This window comes from Homo sapiens, chromosome 5, assembly GCF_000001405.40.
Source record: "Homo sapiens chromosome 5, GRCh38.p14 Primary Assembly".
NCBI lineage: Eukaryota > Metazoa > Chordata > Mammalia > Primates > Hominidae > Homo > Homo sapiens.
This window is the reverse complement of record NC_000005.10, coordinates 58962744-58981531: the sequence shown is the minus strand read 5'-3', so window position 1 is coordinate 58981531 and position 18788 is coordinate 58962744. Positions and strand designations below refer to the sequence as shown.

At 38.7% G+C, this 18788-nt stretch overlaps 1 protein-coding gene across 28 annotated transcripts in view, besides 2 other annotated features; it reads left to right on the top strand.

Moving 5' to 3' along the window:
- The window catches only part of PDE4D (phosphodiesterase 4D), a 1553091-nt gene extending 1540597 nt beyond the window's left edge, over positions 1 to 12494 (top strand). For all 28 annotated transcript variants that reach the window (XM_024446112.2, XM_024446110.2, NM_001364599.1 and 25 more), the window contains 4 exons: positions 4187 to 4341; positions 5060 to 5182; positions 5693 to 5875; positions 6452 to 12494. In XM_024446112.2, the coding sequence (XP_024301880.1) occupies positions 4187 to 4341; positions 5060 to 5182; positions 5693 to 5875; positions 6452 to 6868 (878 nt within the window). In that variant the 3' untranslated portion in view covers positions 6869 to 12494. The remainder of the gene's footprint in view (positions 1 to 4186; positions 4342 to 5059; positions 5183 to 5692; positions 5876 to 6451) is intronic.
- Positions 176 to 760: an enhancer, noted in NCBI's record as "OCT4-NANOG hESC enhancer chr5:58276599-58277183 (GRCh37/hg19 assembly coordinates)". NCBI's record gives its function as "activates a minimal SCP1, AML or CMV promoter by ChIP-STARR-seq in primed H9 embryonic stem cells {active_cell/tissue: H9 hESC(primed)}" and the evidence as "EXISTENCE:reporter gene assay evidence [ECO:0000049][PMID:30033119]".
- Positions 15256 to 15550: a silencer, noted in NCBI's record as "tiled region #1719; K562 Repressive non-DNase unmatched - State 24:Quies". NCBI's record gives its function as "represses a minimal TATA promoter and a strong SV40 promoter by Sharpr-MPRA in K562 cells {active_cell/tissue: K562}" and the evidence as "EXISTENCE:reporter gene assay evidence [ECO:0000049][PMID:27701403]".

Below are 18788 nucleotides of genomic sequence, written 5' to 3'. Positions count from 1 at the left end.
CCCTTATATAACATAAGAGGTATTAACTTATCTTCATTTTCTTTTTCTTATTCCCTTATATAACATAAGAGGTATTAACTTTATATTAGTATTTAAGTATTTATTTTATATCATAGTATTTAAGTTATAGGCTATCAGGATAAGAGTAAACATTACTCAAAAACTTTACTTTCACTTCTGGGGAATGTGTTAGTGTGCTTTTAGTTGTATGCAGGATAGTTGTAGCCTGTTTGGTAGAATTATGGCCTTATGGAGATTAAATATGGTTAAAGGAGATGCTTATGGGTACCAGGGTGACAAGGGGCAGAATTTGTAATGGTTAATTTTATGTGTCAGCTTGACTAGGCTAAGGGATGCCCAGATAGCTGGTAAAACACTATTTTGGGGTGCGTCTGTGAGAGTGTTCCTGGAAGAGATTAGATTAGCATTTGAATTGGTAGACTGATTAAAGAAGATTGCCCTTACCATTGTTGGCAGGGATCAGTCAATCCATTGAGGACCTCAAAGAGAAGAACAAAACATTGGGGGAAGGGCAATTTGCTTTCTCGGAGCCTGGACATACATATTCTCCTGCCTCTAACATCAGGGTTCCTGGTTGATTCTCTGGCCTTTGGACTTGCTTTCCTGGTTCACCTTTGCAGACATGGGACTTCTTGGACTCCATAATTGCCTGAGCCAATTCCTATAATAAATAAATGTGTCTTTTTCTCACATACACACACACACTCATACATATGTCTATTCTATTTCTCTGGAGAACCATGATTAATACAGAGAGAGAAAAGATTAGCACAGATGAAGTACATGTTCTCAGTTATGTGGTAGTACCTGCCCACCCTTCCCCCCATTTCATTAGCACTCAGAAGAGAGGGACACAAAAGTGGTCTTCCTGCCTTCAGTAGTAGCATATGTTGGGCATAATTTAATTTATTCTTGATGATCCAGGGTAGTTGTAACAAATGAGCACAATTGATCTATATATAATAAAATGATGGCTTTGAGTTTGTAAAGGTATGCATGGCCTCTCAATAAAAAATAAATACTTACAAAGTTGTCTTTATAAATGTGTGCCAGGCACTGAGTGGACTGTGTTGATTTCCTGGTTCATGTTTAGTGTTCACTGCTCAGGTTTTCACCTCTATAAGGTACTTGTAATCATAGTCAGTATAAGGTGAGGGCTCTAGAAACTGCCTGGTTTTAAGTGCTGGCCCCAGCACTTACTGGCTAGGTGATGTTGGCAAAGTTACCTACCTTCTCTGAGGTACATTTTCTTCATTTGTACAGGATTATATGAGTATGTCTATGTAAATATTTATGTGTATAAAAGATGTCCCCAAGGGACATTTTCTATCCCCCAGCCTATCCCAAGGACACAAAGACTTACTTCCCACCTATATGGCTCCATGCCATCCATGAATGGAACATAGCCTTAAAATGTCGATAACAACAGTATCTTCCTAAAAGAGTTATGAGGATTAAATGAGATGATTCACATAAACCATTTAACACAATGGCACCTAAATCCTCTAAATGTTGTGCCTTGCTGTATTCCTGTTTGTACTTTGTAAGTTTGAAATAATTGAAGTGCCTAGGGGAAGCCAGATAACCAAACATATTAAATTAATAACCTTTAATATTTTGTAGGGGCTTAAGTCTCTAAGTAGGTTGGGAGGGTTTGGGGAGGAACGATTAAAAGATTTGTAGAGATAAAGACAAAAAAGGTAGAATGCGATACATGCTAAATGGGTGGTACAAAGTAGTATAGAAGTTTACAGGAGAAAGTGGGCAGTTTCATCTGGTAATTAAGAAAGACTTGATGGAAGAGGTAACTTATATTGGGCTTGAAGATGAAAGGGTTTCAACAAAAATGTTATATAAGCTAACCTCTTTGCCCCTCTGTGCTGTGCACTGTACCATCCTGACAGCAACTTTCTGATCATTCCTGAACCTTCAAGGACTCTACTTACAAGTAATGGATTAGTGTCTTTGATGAAAATCTGCTGAGGAGCTGCAGACTCCTACCTCCCAATTTAAATGTGACCATATGCCTTCAGTCCTAAAGAAGAGTAGAAAGTTAAATAACTTCCTTGAGATTCAGTTTCTTAAATGCTAACATTTGTTCATTTAAAAATCAACAGTCACCACCACTTTCCTGTAACAGCATCTGAGATGGAAGAGGCTATGGAGGCCTGCCAGTCCACTAAGGCATCCTTTCCTGGCTTTTCTAGCCAATCTGGACTCTTTAAGTGTCAGGAGATAACCACTCTCCAAGACAGGCCTTGCCAGTATTCTTGGACATCTGCCCTACATGAAAGGCCCTACTTATATCCAGTAGAACTCAGACTCTTTGTTGCACCTTCCATACAACAGATCACCCTTTTCCTTGAAGGAAGAGCTCATCATCTTATTCTTTTGCAGGGTCAACAGCCTTAATTTCCTTCACCTTCAGCTTCATATAAGCCAATTAGGGTTTTTGTAAGGCTAAGTCAATTCTGTTAACACTGCTTGTCTACATGCATATTTCCTTCCTTAAACGAACTCTAATAATTATCCAGTATCTAATAATTATGCCTTCCTTTCAATATATGTTTGTTTATTTGATTCCACTGTAGAAATACAATAATATGTGCTAAGAACCTATATAGTTTTAAATTTTTCATTTCTATATGCTTACCTATCTGTAGATAAAGGTTCATAAAGGCATTTATAGACACTATAAAAGTTCACCAGAAACTGCCTTTTAAAAGATAAACACTATTGTTTTATCTAAAGAAAACAAAAAATAACAAAAAAATACTGTACAAACCTACTCCCTACTAGTCTAAACAGCTCTGCTCCTGTAGTTTGGGAGCAGAAATTTAAGTGTGCAAATTTGTATTTCTATAGTTCCGATAAAATAATAGAATTTCTCAGTTGAAAATGTCTTAAGCCTCTCCTCTCCTTCCTAGCTCCATTAAAATAGCCATTGAATAGTATTGGGTATTTCTTTCTTAAAAAAAGATATATATTTCCAAATATATTTTCTATGCATTCGTTATATATTTTCTATGCATTCGTTAGAAAAAAGATCAAATACCTGTGCTTTTAACCTTTTTCTTTTCTTTTCTTTTCTTTTTGAAACAGAGTCTTGCTCTGTTGCCTAGTTTGGAGTGCAGTGGCACGATATAATGGCTCACTGCAGCCTTGAACTCCTGGGCTCAAGCAATCCTCCTACCTCAGCATCCCAAGTAGCTGGGACTACAGGCACGCCCTACCATCCCCAGATAATTTTTTATTATTTGTCGAGATGAGGTCTCCCTATGTTGACCAGGCTGGTCTTGAACTCCTGGGCTTAAGCAATCCTCCTGCCTCGGATTTGCTTTTAGTCTTTACAGTGATTAAGTGGAAAGAGAATAAAGCATCAAAAGTTTTTTAATGATTATCTTGTAGCTCTGGGTCTGCTATTTACAAGAAGTAGGAGAGAGGCAGAATCTCTCCCTGCCTAAAATTCACAGGTCTAGGGCAGTAGGGAGAGAGTGGCAGAATCTTCACCAGAGGGTATACAGACAGCCAAACACAACATCACTGTGAAGCTGTGAGCAAGCAGGCAGGAAGAGCAATATCCCTGTACAGTATACAATGACTGCCACGATACTTGGAAAAGAAAATGGAAAACAATGAATAAAGCTTGGACTTTCAGAGCTATACATGAGCAAATGAGCAAATCTAAACTTGTTCATATGATTCCTTATTGTTCTTGTACCCTCTTTGAGTACAAACAATCCTGTAACACAGGATCCTCACTTTATATAGTGCAGGGTAGGTAATTCACAGTTATCAGGAATACAAAACCTTATGCTCTGGATGTGTTATAGATACTAAGAATAATGTCATATTCTGCTGAGCTCATGGCAACTCTAGAGGAGAGGTTAAAGATCCAATTCTTTCACTTTAGAGAAAGCTGAGACCTACAGAGTGAAATGACCTGCCACATGTTAGTAGCATTAGAATTCACTCCCCAAGATTCATTCCAGTGTTGTTCCTGCTCTTATGTTATCTGATTTATTCTCTCCTGGATATTGTCAGGTAATGATAAGGGCAGCAGAGAAGTTTAGGGGAAATTACATCCTAAATCCAGAATTTTAAGAATCAGATAAACTTCTCACAAACAGTTTTGCTGATCTTTGGCCTTTTGTCTTTTTTACAGACTCTGAACTTGCCTTGATGTACAATGATTCCTCAGTCTTAGAGAACCATCATTTGGCTGTGGGCTTTAAATTGCTTCAGGAAGAAAACTGTGACATTTTCCAGAATTTGACCAAAAAACAAAGACAATCTTTAAGGAAAATGGTCATTGACATCGTAAGTAGCTGATAAAAGCCAAAGAAGAGAACTGTGATGCAAGTTGTTTATAATTTAGACATAAGAACAAGATGAGTATTAGGTAAAAGGAACTGCATTTCAAAACATATTATGGCCCTTTATGTTATAGAAGCTGCCCGTGATGCTGGCTGTGATGTTCTGTAATAGGTTTTTCACTTCTAGCAGTTTGGACTTGAGAATAATGTCAGCTCACCCTCATCATTTATTTTCTGGGCCCCTCCAGTCTGGTGGCGGGCAGAGAAAAATGACTAACAAAAGCAGATTGTGTGGGCCACAGCTCAAATGGATTTTTTCCCCACCTTTTCTCATCAGTAGACAGTGCCATTTAGACATCCATGACTTTACTCTTTTTTCTATGCATCTTATTCAGTGATTATGAGACACAGGAAAATCTCTAGCTTTCAAAAACTTATAAACTTGTGATGATGTCTTATCCATGGAGATGTCACCCATTTTTCACCATGAAAGTGGTTGTCAGTGCCTAGCATTTCTGTATATTACACACATTTATCTGGGCTTTGGGAAAACTTGATAGCAAAGGGGAAAAGACTCTGCCCCCAAGGAGTAGTAAGGATTTTCCACTGTCATTAAAAGGCATAGTGTTGTTTTATTCCTTTTTCATTCTTATATTCTGCGTAATATTTTCATGTGTAAATTCTGTTTTCTCTGAACTTAATAATATACTCTATATTTTAAGGTACTTGCAACAGATATGTCAAAACACATGAATCTACTGGCTGATTTGAAGACTATGGTTGAAACTAAGAAAGTGACAAGCTCTGGAGTTCTTCTTCTTGATAATTATTCCGATAGGATTCAGGTAAAGCCTTGTTTGAGTTTGCTCTGTGTGTGTGTGTCTGTGCACATGTGCACATGTCTGCGTGTTCAGCTTTGATAAGATGTATTTCTTCCTTCTCCCACCTTATACTTTCAGCAATTGTAGGCAGGATTTTTATCCAAATTTTTATTCCTGAGAATTAACCAGGTAAAATTCTACTGGTCTTTCTGTTTGCATCTACATTAATTAAAAAAACTAACAAACAAACACCCCACAGAACCAGCCACTTAAGCAGCTCTGAATCTAGTCAGCCATGCACATAAACAGTTTCTCTTAAGCTATTTAGATGCAGTAGAAGTGGCATAATTTGGAACTATTAATACAAGTGTGAACTATACACAGACACATCATGGTTGAGCTGTTTGGAATAAATCTTACACTACGTGTATTTTTAAGTGTTGCAGTCATCCAATGTGAATTTCTAGTTTTTTTTGTTTTTTTTTTTAAAAAAAAGGAACAGGAGTGAATAGAGAATGCATCCATCTATTTTAGGTTCTTCAGAATATGGTGCACTGTGCAGATCTGAGCAACCCAACAAAGCCTCTCCAGCTGTACCGCCAGTGGACGGACCGGATAATGGAGGAGTTCTTCCGCCAAGGAGACCGAGAGAGGGAACGTGGCATGGAGATAAGCCCCATGTGTGACAAGCACAATGCTTCCGTGGAAAAATCACAGGTAATGCATGAAGTGTATAGCTTTCAGAGAGAACAGAGCTACCGCTTTAGCATTTGGTTACTTTGTATTACATATGATAGTATTTTACTGGATTTTTAAAATTACTTTGTTTTTGACAAGCTCAATTTCACCTTAGTATTTATGATCCAAAGAACTTTCATTCTTATGACTTACATTCATATAGTCATATATATATTCTAAAGACATATTCATTTATTATGACTATATTCATTTAATATATTCATATACATAGAGCACATGGCATTATTTCAGTTATCTGGATTCACCTACAAATTGGTGATTGTAAAATAAGCCCTACCATGTCAACAACTGGAAAATTTTTTATGCTATAGAACATGCTCTTTAACCAAAGGTTCTAGAAGCTAATTTTGACCAGCTAGTAGCAATACTTTACTTTAAATGGTCTGTTGTTGTTGAAAATAGTGACAATTTTACCAAACTAAGTTTAGTAGTCTTCTGTTCAGTGTTTTATTTGTGGGCCATGATCTAATTAAGCTTTTCCATTGTTTCTTAGTCCCAAGTCCTCTACTCATACTGGATTTTTTTCTTAACTAGGTGGGCTTCATAGACTATATTGTTCATCCCCTCTGGGAGACATGGGCAGACCTCGTCCACCCTGACGCCCAGGATATTTTGGACACTTTGGAGGACAATCGTGAATGGTACCAGAGCACAATCCCTCAGAGCCCCTCTCCTGCACCTGATGACCCAGAGGAGGGCCGGCAGGGTCAAACTGAGAAATTCCAGTTTGAACTAACTTTAGAGGAAGATGGTGAGTCAGACACGGAAAAGGACAGTGGCAGTCAAGTGGAAGAAGACACTAGCTGCAGTGACTCCAAGACTCTTTGTACTCAAGACTCAGAGTCTACTGAAATTCCCCTTGATGAACAGGTTGAAGAGGAGGCAGTAGGGGAAGAAGAGGAAAGCCAGCCTGAAGCCTGTGTCATAGATGATCGTTCTCCTGACACGTAACAGTGCAAAAACTTTCATGCCTTTTTTTTTTTTAAGTAGAAAAATTGTTTCCAAAGTGCATGTCACATGCCACAACCACGGTCACACCTCACTGTCATCTGCCAGGACGTTTGTTGAACAAAACTGACCTTGACTACTCAGTCCAGCGCTCAGGAATATCGTAACCAGTTTTTTCACCTCCATGTCATCCGAGCAAGGTGGACATCTTCACGAACAGCGTTTTTAACAAGATTTCAGCTTGGTAGAGCTGACAAAGCAGATAAAATCTACTCCAAATTATTTTCAAGAGAGTGTGACTCATCAGGCAGCCCAAAAGTTTATTGGACTTGGGGTTTCTATTCCTTTTTATTTGTTTGCAATATTTTCAGAAGAAAGGCATTGCACAGAGTGAACTTAATGGACGAAGCAACAAATATGTCAAGAACAGGACATAGCACGAATCTGTTACCAGTAGGAGGAGGATGAGCCACAGAAATTGCATAATTTTCTAATTTCAAGTCTTCCTGATACATGACTGAATAGTGTGGTTCAGTGAGCTGCACTGACCTCTACATTTTGTATGATATGTAAAACAGATTTTTTGTAGAGCTTACTTTTATTATTAAATGTATTGAGGTATTATATTTAAAAAAAACTATGTTCAGAACTTCATCTGCCACTGGTTATTTTTTTCTAAGGAGTAACTTGCAAGTTTTCAGTACAAATCTGTGCTACACTGGATAAAAATCTAATTTATGAATTTTACTTGCACCTTATAGTTCATAGCAATTAACTGATTTGTAGTGATTCATTGTTTGTTTTATATACCAATGACTTCCATATTTTAAAAGAGAAAAACAACTTTATGTTGCAGGAAACCCTTTTTGTAAGTCTTTATTATTTACTTTGCATTTTGTTTCACTCTTTCCAGATAAGCAGAGTTGCTCTTCACCAGTGTTTTTCTTCATGTGCAAAGTGACTATTTGTTCTATAATACTTTTATGTGTGTTATATCAAATGTGTCTTAAGCTTCATGCAAACTCAGTCATCAGTTCGTGTTGTCTGAAGCAAGTGGGAGATATATAAATACCCAGTAGCTAAAATGGTCAGTCTTTTTTAGATGTTTTCCTACTTAGTATCTCCTAATAACGTTTTGCTGTGTCACTAGATGTTCATTTCACAAGTGCATGTCTTTCTAATAATCCACACATTTCATGCTCTAATAATCCACACATTTCATGCTCATTTTTATTGTTTTTACAGCCAGTTATAGTAAGAAAAAGGTTTTTCCCCTTGTGCTGCTTTATAATTTAGCGTGTGTCTGAACCTTATCCATGTTTGCTAGATGAGGTCTTGTCAAATATATCACTACCATTGTCACCGGTGAAAAGAAACAGGTAGTTAAGTTAGGGTTAACATTCATTTCAACCACGAGGTTGTATATCATGACTAGCTTTTACTCTTGGTTTACAGAGAAAAGTTAAACAGCCAACTAGGCAGTTTTTAAGAATATTAACAATATATTAACAAACACCAATACAACTAATCCTATTTGGTTTTAATGATTTCACCATGGGATTAAGAACTATATCAGGAACATCCCTGAGAAACGGTTTTAAGTGTAGCAACTACTCTTCCTTAATGGACAGCCACATAACGTGTAGGAAGTCCTTTATCACTTATCCTCGATCCATAAGCATATCTTGCAGAGGGGAACTACTTCTTTAAACACATGGAGGGAAAGAAGATGATGCCACTGGCACCAGAGGGTTAGTACTGTGATGCATCCTAAAATATTTATTATATTGGTAAAAATTCTGGTTAAATAAAAAATTAGAGATCACTCTTGGCTGATTTCAGCACCAGGAACTGTATTACAGTTTTAGAGATTAATTCCTAGTGTTTACCTGATTATAGCAGTTGGCATCATGGGGCATTTAATTCTGACTTTATCCCCACGTCAGCCTTAATAAAGTCTTCTTTACCTTCTCTATGAAGACTTTAAAGCCCAAATAATCATTTTTCACATTGATATTCAAGAATTGAGATAGATAGAAGCCAAAGTGGGTATCTGACAAGTGGAAAATCAAACGTTTAAGAAGAATTACAACTCTGAAAAGCATTTATATGTGGAACTTCTCAAGGAGCCTCCTGGGGACTGGAAAGTAAGTCATCAGCCAGGCAAATGACTCATGCTGAAGAGAGTCCCCATTTCAGTCCCCTGAGATCTAGCTGATGCTTAGATCCTTTGAAATAAAAATTATGTCTTTATAACTCTGATCTTTTACATAAAGCAGAAGAGGAATCAACTAGTTAATTGCAAGGTTTCTACTCTGTTTCCTCTGTAAAGATCAGATGGTAATCTTTCAAATAAGAAAAAAATAAAGACGTATGTTTGACCAAGTAGTTTCACAAGAATATTTGGGAACTTGTTTCTTTTAATTTTATTTGTCCCTGAGTGAAGTCTAGAAAGAAAGGTAAAGAGTCTAGAGTTTATTCCTCTTTCCAAAACATTCTCATTCCTCTCCTCCCTACACTTAGTATTTCCCCCACAGAGTGCCTAGAATCTTAATAATGAATAAAATAAAAAGCAGCAATATGTCATTAACAAATCCAGACCTGAAAGGGTAAAGGGTTTATAACTGCACTAATAAAGAGAGGCTCTTTTTTTTTCTTCCAGTTTGTTGGTTTTTAATGGTACCGTGTTGTAAAGATACCCACTAATGGACAATCAAATTGCAGAAAAGGCTCAATATCCAAGAGACAGGGACTAATGCACTGTACAATCTGCTTATCCTTGCCCTTCTCTCTTGCCAAAGTGTGCTTCAGAAATATATACTGCTTTAAAAAAGAATAAAAGAATATCCTTTTACAAGTGGCTTTACATTTCCTAAAATGCCATAAGAAAATGCAATATCTGGGTACTGTATGGGGAAAAAAATGTCCAAGTTTGTGTAAAACCAGTGCATTTCAGCTTGCAAGTTACTGAACACAATAATGCTGTTTTAATTTTGTTTTATATCAGTTAAAATTCACAATAATGTAGATAGAACAAATTACAGACAAGGAAAGAAAAAACTTGAATGAAATGGATTTTACAGAAAGCTTTATGATAATTTTTGAATGCATTATTTATTTTTTGTGCCATGCATTTTTTTTCTCACCAAATGACCTTACCTGTAATACAGTCTTGTTTGTCTGTTTACAACCATGTATTTATTGCAATGTACATACTGTAATGTTAATTGTAAATTATCTGTTCTTATTAAAACATCATCCCATGATGGGATGGTGTTGATATATTTGGAAACTCTTGGTGAGAGAATGAATGGTGTGTATACATACTCTGTACATTTTTCTTTTCTCCTGTAATATAGTCTTGTCACCTTAGAGCTTGTTTATGGAAGATTCAAGAAAACTATAAAATACTTAAAGATATATAAATTTAAAAAAACATAGCTGCAGGTCTTTGGTCCCAGGGCTGTGCCTTAACTTTAACCAATATTTTCTTCTGTTTTGCTGCATTTGAAAGGTAACAGTGGAGCTAGGGCTGGGCATTTTACATCCAGGCTTTTAATTGATTAGAATTCTGCCAATAGGTGGATTTTACAAAACCACAGACAACCTCTGAAAGATTCTGAGACCCTTTTGAGACAGAAGCTCTTAAGTACTTCTTGCCAGGGAGCAGCACTGCATGTGTGATGGTTGTTTGCCATCTGTTGATCAGGAACTACTTCAGCTACTTGCATTTGATTATTTCCTTTTTTTTTTTTTTTAACTCGGAAACACAACTGGGGAAATATATTCTTTCCCAGTGATTATAAACAATCTTTTTCTTTTTTTTAAGTCCTTTTGGCTTCTAGAGCTCATAGGAAAATGGACTTGATTTGAAATTGGAGCCAGAGTTTACTCGTGTTGGTTATCTATTCATCAGCTTCCTGACATGTTAAGAGAATACATTAAAGAGAAAATACTGTTTTTTAATCCTAAAATTTTTCTTCCACTAAGATAAACCAAATGTCCTTACATATATGTAAACCCATCTATTTAAACGCAAAGGTGGGTTGATGTCAGTTTACATAGCAGAAAGCATTCACTATCCTCTAAGATTTGTTTCTGCAAAACTTTCATTGCTTTAGAATTTTAAAATTTCACCTTGTACAATGGCCAGCCCCTAAAGCAGGAAACATTTATAATGGATTATATGGAAACATCCTCCCAGTACTTGCCCAGCCCTTGAATCATGTGGCTTTTCAGTGAAAGGAAAGATTCTTTTTCTAGGAAAAATGAGCCTATTTTATTTTATTTTATTTTATTTTTTGACACAAACTGTAGATTTTAGCAGCCCTGGCCCAAAGGAATTTGATTACTTTTGTTTTAAACAGTACAAAGGGGACACTATAATTACAAAAACATCCTTAACTGATTTGAGTTGTTTTTATTTCTTTGGATATATTTTCAGAGTGGTAAATTGTGTGTGAGAATTACAAATGATTATTCTTTTAGTGGTTTCTTAGCCTCTCTTACAGCCCACGGGGATAGTACTGTACATCAATACCTTCATATGAAATTTTTATATGCAATGAAAATAAAAGCATGGGTTGATTCTGCCTATTTATGACTCAATCTTTTACAAATAAAAGATTATTCATTTTAAATTATAGTTCAATCAGCATGTCTCTTAGGATACTGAACGTGGTTGAAATGAAAGGATAGTGACATCATAAGTTAGTACTGATATTCATAACCAAATAAAGCCAACTTGAGTAATTTTGCTACATTAAAAATTACCAAAATTACTTAGATGGCCTATAAGATTAAGCATGGTGTTTTCTAAGCAAGCTTTGAAAGGGGCCTTCCATACTTACTTAATTGAATATTCTGGGATATTGAAAATTATTCAGATACTTGACAATTATTTTTGGTTACCTACTCCGCAAACTACAAAGTTTTAAGGACTCAACAATAAGTTAATGAGACACAGTGTTTGCTTTCATGGAGCTTACAGTCTGGAGGGGACAAAGGCTTAAACAATACTCATATAATTATATATGTGATCAGTACAATGAAGGAGCTCAGTGGGGTAAATAAGCAGGAACCTGAACTTGATCTGTTCCGGAGGGCCACAGAAGGCTTCCTTGAGGCCTTGAGAAAGTGATTTGCATCTGAGTTCTGAAGGATTGTAAGAGGTAACTAGGGAAAAAGTTGACAGGAAGAGGAAGGGGATCCAGACAAGAAACATTTGCAAAGATCTTGAGGCATAAATGAGCTTGAGACATCTGGAGAAACTGAGGAAAAGTGAGAGAGTAGGCAGGGCCTGGAGCCGCAGAGCCATTGCTAACCATCCTGTGTGAGATATCCCCCATTCTGTAGCTTTATTCTCATAACCCTGCTCAATTTTCTTTATAACACTTCTCACAGATTTATATACGTGTTTGTTTTTGTTATCTGTCTCTCCCACCAGACCACAGCTCCATGAGAGCAAGGTCTTTGCTTACCAATATATCACTAGCACTTAAAACTATGCCTGGTACACAGTAGGTTCTTAATATGTGTTGAATATAGCCATCAAATTGATATTGGATATAATTCAATCTGATAAGATATTTTGAGATATTAAAGAGTTTTTAACTTGATACCATAAAAACTTTGTTTGTTTTTTGTTTTTGAGCTTACTAAGATCCTGGATAAAGAGTTTAGAGTTTCCTATCTCTTTGCTAACTAAAAACTCTGTTTGCTTATTCCTCACAAATTCTACTTTTTTCTAAATGACAATCCATTTGTCATGATAATGAGAGTAAAGAAATCAGCACAAATTTAATCCCCAGATCATCCCCAGACCATGCCAGCAGAATAAGGGTAATTAAACAGAGCATCTATGCTTAGCCTCTCCACCATTTCTCCTGCCACAACAGTCCTGACAGCCAACAGGTGCCAAATTTGTGCCTTCCTGGGAATAACTGTTTTAAACTCAAGCTCCCTTCCCCAAAGCCATGACCCCAAAGTGACACTATGGAACTAAGGAAGCAACTCCCTTCTTTTCCTGACTTGCCACGCTTGCTGATTTAGGCTAATTTGGGTGGTGGTGGGCCTGAACTCACATTAAAATCTCTGACCTGGAAACCTTTCCTCAGGCACACGGCTTTGGACCCACAACAGCAACATTCCACCAAAAAACAAACCAAAACCAAAAACATTCCCTGTTGCTAGAGAGTACCACCTGTCTACCAAGGGGAAAACAACCTTGTGTCAGGGGAATCATACCAGGGCTTTCCCATCCTTCTGATTTGGGTCCTGCATCCCACCCAGCTACTCCGAGAGCTCCAAATACTCTAGGTCAAACTCAGTGCTATGGGTATAAATCTTGAATTTGTACACATAGGAAATACTACTTTATTTCCTTTAAATCAATTAATCTGGACTCGGGGCTCCAGCCAATCACACTATTGGAAATTCCCATCTCTCATTACTGCCACAGCTCCTCTCTCTCCCAACATAAAATTTATCTTATCTCCAATATAATCTGAGTATCAGGCCTCTGTGTTGTTCCAGCAGAGGTTCCTTACAGTCCCTCAGCTATTAGCTTCCTGGTCACATGTGGTGTACCAGGAATATATGCTGGTTTGGGGCCCTGCTTCCACACAGTGTGTGCATCAAAAGAGCCTATCCTTCTGGTGTTTTATTACACCTTGCTGTGGTCTGAATGTCTGTGTTGAAATGCTAACCCCTAGGTGATGCTATTAGGAGATGGGGGCCCTTTGGGAGATAATTAGGTTATGAAGGCAGAGTCCTCATGAATGGGATCAGCGCCCTTATAAAAGAGGCCCAAGGGACCTTGTTCAACCTGGCCACCATGTGAGGACTCAGCTAGAAGGTGCCATCTGTGAAAATGAAAGCAGGTCCTCACCAGGCACCAAATCTGCCAGAACCTTGATGTTGGACTTCCCAGCCTCTAGACTGTGAGAAGTAAGTGTGTTGTTTATAAGCCACCCACTTTATGGTATTTTCTTATAGAAGTCTAAGGAGACTAAGACATACCTACTGAAATTACTACAAAAAAAAGCAGTTCTCTTCTTTTCCTAATTCTCAACATATTCTCCTTCTTCTCTCTCCTTCCTTCTTTTGCTCTCCAATGAGATCAGGCTTAAAAACAAAAACGAAACAGACTAGAGGTAGTTCTGACTTCCATTTGCTTCTGCTCTCCACTCTGCAAAAACCCTGGCTATTATTTGAAATATGGAGACGAAAAAAGATATTGGAAGAGCATACATTAAATAATAGTCCATTAACCTTCCACACATGGTTGGCAACATCTAGATCCAACAATGTTCACTGAACATTTTGAGATGTGGGAAGTTGAGGAAGTTGTCTCCAAGAGGAAGTCATCAGGAACTCCCATACTTCCTATGTGGGAACACAGGGAAAGAGGCATTTTTTCCTGAAGTCTCTGTGTTCCAGTGCTATCCCTGAATGTCTATTCCCAGCTCTCGCTTAGCTGTTTCAATGACAAGATATAGCACTTGAAAATTTTATAAAGTGAGAGTCATATTTGCTCCCTGCTGCAAGCCCCCACCCTGCCATTCCAGGACCCTGCTATGGTCCACAATTGGCATTATGATTCCCTCTATTTTGCAGCTATGAAAAGTGAGGCCCAAGAAGGTTAATTGACTTGGCTAAGATTATTCACAGGCTAAATACTGAGATTAATGATTTGCAAACTACAGATTTGACAGAAGTCCTAATGCTATCTCTACATCCTATTTCTGTTGAGGACCAAAATTGACTGTTGCATTGCCTTTGATTTCCTTTGACCATCCTTCATTACAGATTTCAGTAATTTTTATGGTCCAAAGCTAGGTGACAGATATTACATCATATGCATTTGTTAACTCACCCTATGTCTGCATAGCCTTGCTATATGGTCAGAATTCTCCAGATTGACTGGGGAACTTGGAGTTAAAGAGCCCCTGACCCCCTAAAAAATTATAGAAAATGAAAGAAGCTGTCAAGAAAGTAAGGAGCAGAGATAAGAGCAGAGATGGGAGCGTGCCTCTGCCCGGCAGAGACTCACAACATGAGGCAAGACAGATCTTAGCTGAACTTCTTGCAGGATGTATGCCTCAATGAAAGGAATGGAGCACGGGCAGCATCCGGCTTAGGCTGGAGCCCCTTCAACCATCATGGCTGTTTTAGCAGGGTGTTTGCCAGCTGCTTACAAATCCCAAGCCAACAGACATGGTTTCAGGACCTGAATCATGCAAACATATTTTCTGAAAGGTTCTATCACCTGAGAATTGCTTTTCCTTCGCTCCTTGTTTTTGAACCAAAAAGCCGACCAAATGTATAGTGGCAAACACTTGCTCAGCACCCATCCATGCAAGGCACTGTTTTACCACCAGGCTGCATCAGTTAGAGAACCAAGCCGTCTCTCACCTTGCAGCTTCTTCACACTTTGCTCATTTTCTCTCTAACACTGATGGTTTCTGTTTCCTGCTATTCAGTTACAGCATCTGGGAAGAGAGTGGCAGAGAACGCCAGGCAACTGCACCCTGCCACAGTGGGTCAAGCGGAGGCTGGGTGGTGACACCCGTCTCTACCCAGCAGAAGTCAGTGGTTCATGGGTGGAGAACAAAGCTCAGGACAGCTGCTGCAGTCCAGGGAACTGTCCACCATAGAAGACTCTTGGGAAGCAGCCCCTGACCCCAACCCCCTGTGCTTTTTGAAGCCGTGTCTGGTATCACATGGAATTATGCAGTAGTCATAGAATATCTTTGAAAACTTATATTCTAAAAATAATTGCTGAGATCAGCGATTAAAATATCTAATAAATGGACTGGAAAAGTTGAAAACAAGCAAAGGTGAGAGAAAACAATTGAGGAAAACTGGGAGAAAGTGAAGGAAGTTGGACCCTTTGTACTACAGCATCCAAGGACAGTGATGATATCTTCTGTTCCCCACAGGACCAGGTTCCTGGTGCTTAACGTAACACATAAGGCCCTTAAGGATCTAATCAAACTAAATCATCCCCAACTCCTCCCATCAACCCCACATAGATATCCCTGTGCCTCAGCTAAATGCTGCCTTTACACCTTGCCTTTACATCTCTCTGCCTGGAAAACAGCTCATCCCTCTTGATCCAGTTTAAATACACCTTTGTCTGGAAAGCCTTTCCCATTAGTATTTTATACACAACCCTATAATAAATATTTCCCCTAATATGTTGTATTTTTTAAAAAAATTCTTTCTCTCACTAGATTGTGAGATTTTTAATTTTTATTTTTTTAGACAGTCTCACTCTGTCACCTAGGCTGAAATACAGTGGCGCAATGTTGGCTCACTGCAATCTCTGCCTCCTGAGTTCAAGTGATTCTCCTGCCTCAGCCTCCTGAGTAGCTGGGATTACAGGCATGCATCACCACGTCCAGCTAATTTTTGTAATTTTTTAGTAGAGATGGGGTTTCGCTATGTTGGCCAGGCTGGTCTCGAATCCTGACCTCAGGTGATCCGCCCACCTTGGCCTACCAAAGTGCTAGGATTACAGGCGTGAGCCACCACGCCTGGCCTAGATAGTGCAATTTTTAAACATCAATGTATTCCTTTTTGCCTGCTAGTAAGGAATTAAGTCCGGATATTAACATTTGACTATTCTTTCCCCTCTAACACCAACTCTTCTCAAAATGTGGTCCTTGAGCTGACATTAACGTCAACTAGGATCTTGTTAGATTATAATCTAGCCCCAGACCAAGGCTCCAGGAAAAGACTCTCTAGGGGTGGACCCTAGAACCTGTGTTTTAACAAGGACTCCAGGTGATAAGTATGCTCCATAAAGTTTGAGAAACACTGTTCAAGACATCATGGAGGTGTTTTTCTATTTCTGTTTTTTTTAAGAAGCAAGTTAATAATCTCAACCACCTTTCTAATGTATTTCATTTAATCAAAGGGATACTTGTTGCTACAGGAGTTACAACAGATGACCTAGTGAGGGCCACAGGCAGTCTGAGGAACAGTAGGATCCCATGTTTGGCCAATGTCTATCAAGCAAGAAAGGAATAGTGAAGCCAGCTATTAGCTCCCTTCAGCAGAGGAAACCTGGGATTAGGAGTCGCCATCAGGCATCATGGCATCACAAGCAGGCATGGGTTAAAGATTTAAATGTTGCAAAAAGAGAGAAGAACCAGAAGGAAATTACGTCCACATTATCCCTGCAAGACCATTAATGTAATGAACAGAAATCAAACACCTTTTCAGTCTTCAAGTGCCGCATTCAGGTTCACTCTGCTAATCACACAGCTGAGTGGCCCTCTGCTTTCATAACTGGGTGAAACCACACATCCCACCCCAAGATGGCTTGGGATCTACCATCACAAGGGGCCACCAAAGGGCCAAATAACACAACCCCGAAATTCAGTGGTGGTAACTCTCCATGGGGTTAACTTTGATTACTGGGAAACTAGAAATGGGAAGGAGCCAGTAAATTAATTTCTTCTCTCCCAAGACTATTCTGAGGCATAGCCTCCCCCTTGAAGCCCATCAGGATGATCCTGCAGTTCCATGTCAGCAAGAGCGCCCTACCAAGTGACCTGCAGTGTCTCTTGGCTGCTCCTTGTGAGTCAGTAGCCAGCAGAGAAATGTTTTCCCTACTTTCCTTTATTTCTTTGTTCTTACTTGCTTCATTTTGCCTTGACCTTTTTTTCCTCACCCCTACTACCCAAAGGCATGTACTTCCCAAATAAAGTCTGTCACTCTGATCCCTCCCTCAGACTGTTTCCAGGGATGCTGAGCACCCTGTACATTCAGAAAAGCAGATGTCAAATTTCTGTATATATATTGGAGTGCACTAAGTATTTAAAATCAACCTTTGGCTATTAGAGGTAGGGACTGTGCCTTATGCATCATTGTTTTTCCAGGGCTTAGTTCAGTGTCTGCCATATAGCAAGTATTCATTTAACAGGAAAAGAGAAAGACAAGTGGGTAAGTAATTGCCTGAATGAATGAGGTTGATGGTGAAGAATGGGTGGGAAGGGCATGAATTGGCCTAGAATAGATTAGACATTAAGTAAGCAGGAGTCGAGACAGTTAAGGGGCCAAAGGCAGCTGAAAAGAATATGGAACAGGAATACAAGTTGAAGGAATCAGGCATTCTCCCTAGAAACAAAGGGTACGGGAAGGGTAAGAGACAGACACTTCACTGTCTGGGAATTTTCATCCATACTCGTTATTAAAGACACACTTGGTTGCCTACTTAATTATTACCAACCCTCCACCCCCACTTTATTCCTGGCATACATAAGTGGGATTTTGTTCAGGTCGTGTGAAGTCAAGTCTTCCAGGGAGATCCAGCCTCTCCTCAGTTCTGTAGGCTAATTCTGAGCCTTTTATGGTAATTCCTCTACCCTTGCCAGTGATTAGGTTAGGACAGGCTTGCCGTGCTGCAATAGTAGACAGTGAGACACAGGTTGACTTCTGGGAAAATATCCCCAACTCTTACAAAGAAAAGAGAGAACAGAACATTTTTTCTTCGGGGCTTTGGAAATTATTTTCAAAGATGTCATGGTTAGGCTATTATCTTGAGGCCACGAAAGGAACTATCTGAATACACAGACAACATACTGAAAATGGCAAAGCAGAAGTTAGATAGCACATGAGTCTTTGAAGATGTGTTTGAGCTGCTGAACTAATCAGCCCTACTTTGAAACTTATTAAGATAATAACTAGTTATTATTTAAGCCATTTTAGTTGAACCTGCTATTATTTGCCCCTGAAACAATCCTAACTAATATACTGTTAGTCCATTTGTATCGTTATAAAGGAATACCTGATGCTGGGTAATTTATAAAGAAAGGAGGTTTATTTGGCTCAGAGTTCTTCAGGCTGTACAGGAAGCATGCACGGCTCTACAGCTGCCTGGCTTCTGGTGAGGCCTCAGGAAGCTTTAACTCAT